The sequence below is a fragment of the Homo sapiens genome, chromosome X (assembly GCF_000001405.40).
Source record: "Homo sapiens chromosome X, GRCh38.p14 Primary Assembly".
Classification (NCBI taxonomy): Eukaryota; Metazoa; Chordata; class Mammalia; order Primates; family Hominidae; genus Homo; species Homo sapiens.
The window spans coordinates 77,045,764-77,052,191 of record NC_000023.11 but is presented as its reverse complement, the minus strand read 5'-3'; the positions used below and the strand labels follow the sequence as shown (position 1 = coordinate 77,052,191).

The 6,428-nt window shown below is 41.3% G+C and overlaps 2 annotated features.

Moving 5' to 3' along the window:
• Positions 5,178 to 5,678: an enhancer, noted in NCBI's record as "H3K27ac hESC enhancer chrX:76266939-76267439 (GRCh37/hg19 assembly coordinates)". NCBI's record gives its function as "activates a minimal SCP1, AML or CMV promoter by ChIP-STARR-seq in naive H9 embryonic stem cells {active_cell/tissue: H9 hESC(naive)}" and the evidence as "EXISTENCE:reporter gene assay evidence [ECO:0000049][PMID:30033119]".
• Positions 5,679 to 6,179: an enhancer, noted in NCBI's record as "H3K27ac hESC enhancer chrX:76266438-76266938 (GRCh37/hg19 assembly coordinates)". NCBI's record gives its function as "activates a minimal SCP1, AML or CMV promoter by ChIP-STARR-seq in naive H9 embryonic stem cells {active_cell/tissue: H9 hESC(naive)}" and the evidence as "EXISTENCE:reporter gene assay evidence [ECO:0000049][PMID:30033119]".

Here is a 6,428-nt window from a genome sequence, read left to right as displayed (position 1 = left end):
ACATATGTATACATGTGCCATGCTGGTGTGCTGCACCCACTAAGCCGTCATCTAGCATTAGGTATCTCTCCCAATGCTATCCCTCCCCCTCCCCCCACCCCACAACAGTCCCCAGAGTGTGATGTTCCCCTTCTGTGTCCATGTGTTCTCATTTTTCAATTCCCACCTATGAGTGAGAATATGCAGTGTTTGGTTTTTTGTTCTTGTGATAGTTTACTGAGAATGATGATTTCCAGTTTCATCCATGTCCCTTCAAAGGACATGAACTCATCATTTCTTATGGCTGCATAGTATTCCATGGTGTATATGTGCCACATTTTCTTAATCCAGTCTATCATTGTTGGACATTTGGGTTGGTTCCAAGTCTTTGCTATTGTGAATAATGCCACAATAAACATAAGTGTGCATGTGTCTTTATAGCAGCATGATTTATAGTCCTTTGGGTATATACCCAGTAATGGGATGGCTGGGTCAAACGGTATTTCTAGTTCTAGATCCCTGAGGAATGGCCACACTGACTTCCACAATGGTTGAACTAGTTTACAGGCCCACCAACAGTGTAAAACTGTTCCTATTTCTCCACATCCTCTCCAGCACCTGTTGTTTCCTGACTTTTTAATGATTGCCATTCTAATTGGTGTGAGACAGTATCTCATTGTGGTTTTGATTTGCATTTCTCTGATGGCCAGTGATGATGAGCATCTTTTCATGTGTTTTCTGGCTGCATAAATGTCTCCTTTTGAGAAGTGTCTGTTCGTGTCCTTCACCCACTTTTTGACGGGGTTGTTTGTTTTTTTTCTTGTAAATTTGTTTGAGTTCATTGTAGATTCTGAATATTAGCCCTTTGTCAGATGAGTAGGTTGCGAAAATTTTCTCCCATTTTGTAGGTTGCCTGTTCACTCTGATGGTAGTTTCTTTTGCTGTGCAGAAGCTCTTTAGTTTAATTAGATCCCATGTGTCAATTTTGGCTTTTGTTGCCATTGCTTTTGGTGTTTTAGACATGAAGTCCTTGCCCATGCCTATGTCCTGAATGGTAATGCCTAGGTTTTCTTCTAGGGTTTTTATGATTTCAGGTCTAACGTTTAAGTCTTTAATCCAACTTGAATTGATTTTTGTATAAGGTGTAAGGAAGGGATCCAGTTTCAGCTTTGTACCTATGGCTAGCCAGTTTTCCCAGCATCATTTATTAAATAGGGAATCCCTTCCCCTTTGCTTGCTTTTCTCAGGTTTGTCAAAGATCAGGTAGTTGTAGATATGCAGCGTTATTTCTGAGGGCTCTGTTCTGTTCCATTGATCTATATCTCTGTTTTGGTACCAGTACCATGCTGTTTTGGTTACTGTAGCCTTGTAGTATAGTTTGAAGTCGGGTAGTGTGATGCCTCCAGCTTGTTTCTTTTGGCTTAGGATTGACTTGGTGATGTGGGCTCTTTTATGGTTCCATATGAACTTTAAAGTAGTTTTTTCCAATTCTGTAGAAAGTCATTGGTAGCTTGATGGGGATGGCATTGAATCTATAAATTCCCTTGGGCAGTATGGCCATTTTCACAATATTGATTCTTCCTACCCATGAGCATGGAATATTCTTCCATTTGTTTGTATCCTCTTTTATTTCCTTGAGCAGTGGTTTGTAGTTCTCCTTGAAGAGGTCCTTCACATCCTTGTAAGTTGGATTCCAAGGTATTTTATTCTCTTTGAAGCAATTGTGAATGGGAGTTCCCTCATGATTTGGCTCTCTGTTTGTCTGTTGTTCGTGTATAAGAATGCTTGTGATTTTTGTACATTGATTTTGTATCCTGAGACTTTGCTGAAGTTGCTTATCAGCTTAAGGAGATTTTGGGTTGAGACAATGGAGTTTTCTAGATATACAATCATGTCATCTGCAAACAGGGACAATTTGACTTCCTCTTTTCCTAATTGAATAACTTTTATTTCCTTCTCCTGCCTAATTGCCCTGGCCAGAACTTCCAACACTATGTTGAATAGGAGTGGTGAGAGAGGGCATCCCTGTCTTGTGCCAGTTTTCAAAGGGAATGCTTCCAGTTTCTGCCCATTCAGTATGATATTGGCTGTGCATTTGCCATAGCTAGCTCTTATTATTTTGAGATACATCCCATCAATTCCTAATTTATTGAGAGTTTTTAACATGAAGCGTGTTGAATTTTGTCAAAGGCCTTTTCTGCATCTATTGAGATAATCACGTGGTTTTTGTCTTTGGCTCTGTTTATATGCTGGATTACATTTATTGATTTGTGTATATTGAACCAGCCTTGCATCCCAGGGATGAAGCCCACTTGATCATGTTGGATAAGCTTTTTGATGTGCTGCTGAATTCAGTTTGCCAGTATTTTATTGAGGATTTTTGCATCAATGTTCATCAAGGATATTGGTCTAACATTCTCTTTTTTGGTTGTGTCTCTGCCTGGCTTTGGTATCAGGATGATGCTGGCCTCATAAAATGAGTTAGGGAGGATTCCCTCCTTTTCTATTGACTGGAATAGTTTCAGAAGGAATGGTACCAGTTCCTCCTTGTACCTCTGGTAGAATTCAGCTGTGAATCCATCTGGTCCTGGACTCTTTTTGGTTGGTAAGCTATTGATTATTGCCATAATTTCAGATCCTGTTATTGGTTTATTCAGAGATTCAACTTCTTCCTGGTTTAGTCTTGGGAGAGTGTATTTGTCCAGGAATTTATCCATTTCTTCTAGATTTTCTAGTTTATTTGCATAGAGGTGTTTGTAGTATTCTCTGATGGTAGTTTGTATTTCTGTAGGATTGGTGGTGATATCCCCTTTATCATTTTTTATTGCGTCTATTTGATTCTTCTCTCTTTTTTTCTTTATTTGTCTTGCTAGCGGTCTATCAATTTTGTTGATCCTTTCAAAAAACCAGCTCCTGGATTCGTTAATTTTTTGAAGGGTTTTTTTGTGTCTCTATTTCCTTCAGTTCTGCTCTGATTTTAGTTATTTCTTGCCTTCTGCTAGCTTTTGAATGTGTTTGCTCTTGCTTTTCTAGTTCTTTTAATTGTGTTGCTAGGTTGTCAATTTTGGATCTTTCCTGCTTTCTCTTGTGGGCATTTAGTGCTATAAATTTCCCTCTACACACTGCTTTGAATGTGTCCCAGAGATTCTGGTATGTTGTGTCTTTGTTCTCGTTGGTTTCAAAGAACATCTTTATTTCTGCCTTCATTTTGTTATGTACCCAGTAGTCATTCAGGAGCAGGTTGTTCAGTTTCCATGTAGTTGAGCGGTTTTGAGTGAGATTCTTAATCCTGAGTTCTAGTTTGATTGCACTGTGGTCTGAGAGATAGTTTGTTATAATTTCTGTTGTTTTACATTTGGTGAAGAGAGCTTTACTTCCAAGTATGTGGTCAGTTTTGGAATAGGTGTGGTGTGGTGCTGAAAAAAATGTATATTCTGTTGATTTGGGGTGGAGAGTTCTGTAGATGTCTTTTAGGTCCTCTTGGTGCAGAGCTGATTTCAATTCCTGGGTATCCTTGTTGACTTTCTGTCTCATTGATCTGTCTAATGTTGACAGTGGGGTGTTAAAGTCTCCCATTATTAATGTGTGGGAGTCTAAGTCTCTTTGTAGGTCACTCAGGACTTGCTTTATGAATCTGGGTGCTCCTGTATTGGGTGCATATATATTTAGGATAGTTAGCTCTTCTTGTTGAATTGGTCCCTTTACCGTTAAGTAATGGCTTTCTTTGTCTCTTTTGATCTTTGTTGGTTTAAAGTCTGTTTTATCAGAGACTAGGATTGCAACCCCTGCCTTTTTTTGTTTTCCATTTGCTTGGTAGATCTTCCTCCATCCTTTTATTTTGAGCCTATGTGTGTCTCTGCACGTGAGATGGGTTTCCTGAATACAGCACACTTATGGGTCTTGACTCTTTATCCAATTTGCCAGTCTGTGTCTTTTAATTGGAGCATTTAGTCCATTTACATTTAAATTTAATATTGTTATGTATGAATTTGATCCTGTCATTGTGATGTTAGCTTGTTAGTTTGCTCATTAGTTGATGCAGTTTCTTCCTAGTCTCAATGGTCTTTCCATTTTGGCATGATTTTGCAGTGGCTGGTACCGGTTGTTCCTTTCCTTGTTTAGGGCTTCCTTCAGGAGCTCTTGTCAGTCAGGCCTGGTGGTGACAAAATCAGCATTTGCTTTTCTGTAAAGGATTTTATTTCTCCTTCACTTATGAAGCTTAGTTTGGTTGGATATGAAATTCTGGGTTGAAAATTCTTTTCTTTAAGAATGTTGAATACAGGCCCCCACTCTCTTCTGGCTTGTAGAGTTTCTGCAGAGAGATCTGCTGTTAGTCTGATGGGCTTCCCTTTGAGGGTAACCCGACCTTACTCTCTGGCTGCCCTTAACATTTTTTCCTTCATTTCAACTTTGGTGAATCTGACAATTATGTGTCTTGGAGTTGCTCTTCTCGAGGAGTATCTTTGTGGCGTTCTCTGTATTTCCTGAATCTGAATGTTGGCCTGCCTTGCTAGATTGGGGAAGTTCTCCTGGATAATATCCTGCAGAGTGTTTTCCAACTTGGTTCCATTCTCCCCGTCACTTTCAGATACACCAATCAGAGGTAGATTTGGTCTTTTCACATAGTCCGATATTTCTTGGAGGCTTTGATCATTTCTTTTTATTCTTTTTTCTCTAAACTTCCCTTCTCACTTCATTTAATTCATTTCATCTTCCATCGCTGAAACCGTTTCTTCCAGTTGATCACATCGGCTCCTGAGGCATCTGCATTCTTCATGTAGTTCTCGAGCCTTGGTTTTCAGCTCCATCAGCTCCTTTAAGCACTCCTCTGTTTTGGTTATTCTAGTTATACATTCTTCTAAACTTTTTTCAGAATTTTCAACTTCTTTGCCTTTGTTTTGAATGTCCTCCCATAGCTCGGAGTAATTTGATCGTCTGAAGCCTTCTTCTCTCAGCTCGTCAAGGTCATTCTCGGTCCACCTTTGTTCTGTTGCTAGTGAGGAGCTGCGTTCCTTTGGAGGAGGAGAGGGGCTCTGCTTTTTAGAGTTTCCAGTTTTTCCTGCTCTGTTTTTTCCCCATCTTTGTGGTTTTATCTACTTTTGGTCTTTGATGATGGTGATGTACAGATAGGTTTTTGGTGTGGATGTCCTTTCTGTTTGTTAGTTTTCCTTCTAACACACAGGACCCTTAGCTGCAGGTCTGTTGGAGTACTGTGCCGTGTGAGGTGTCAGTCTGCCCTTGCTGTGGGGTGCCTCCCAGTTAGGCTGCTCGGGGGTCAGGGGTCAGGGACCCACTTGAGGAGGCAGTCTGCTCATTCTCAGATTTCCAGCTGCGTGCTGGAAGAACCACTGCTTTCTTCAAAGCTGTCAGACAGGGACATTTAAGTCTGCAGAGGTTACTGCTGTCTTTTTGTTTGTCTGTACCCTGCCCCCAGAGGTGGAGCCTACCGAGGCAGGCAGGCCTCCTTGAGCTGTGGTGGGCTCCACCCAGTTGGAGCTTCCCGGCTGCTTTGTTTACCTAAGCAAGCCTGGGCATTGGCGGGCGCCCCTCCCCCAGCCTGGCTGCCGCCTTGCAGTTTGATCTCAGACTGCTGTGCTAGTAATTAGCGAGACTGCGAGGGCGTAGGACCCTCTGAGCCAGGTGCCAGATATAATCTCGTGGTGCGCCGTGTTTTAAGCCGGTCGGAAAAGCGCAGTATTCGGGTGGGAGTGACCCGATTTTCCAGGTGCCATCTGTCACCACTTTCTTTGACTAGGAAAGGGAACTCCCTGACCCCTTGGGCTTCCCGAGAGAGGGAATGCCTCGCCCTGCTTCGGCTGGCGCACGGTGCGCGCATTCACTGACCTGCGCCCACTGTCTGGCACTCCCTAGTGAGATGAACCCGGTACTTCAGATGGAAATGCAGAAATCACCGGTCTTCTGCGTTGCTCACGCTGGGAGCTGTAGACCGGAGCTGTTCCTATTTGGCCATCTTGGCTCCTCCCCCTATTTTATTAATGTTTTGTAGTTTTCAGTGTACAGGTTTTTTACCTCCTTGGATAAATTTACTTGTAAGTATTCTATTTTCTTTGATGTTATTGTAAATGGGATTGGTTTCTTGGTTTTCTTTTCAGTTAATTCCTTATGTGTATACAAATGCCACAGATTTTTGTATGTTGATTTTATATCCTGCAACTTTGCTGAATTTGTTTATTAGATCTAATAGTTTTTTGGTGGCGTCTTTGGGGGTTTCTACATATATGATCATGTCATCTTCAAATGGAGATAATTTTCCTTCTTTCTTTCTGATTTGTTTTTTTAGGTCTTATTTTTGTCTATTTGCTCTTGATAGCACTCCCACTAGTATGCTGAATAGAAGTGGCAAAAGTGGCCATCCTTGTTTTGCATCAGGTAGCAGAGGAAAGAAAGGCTTTTAGTTTCTCCTCATTGATTATGATGTTAGCTGTGGG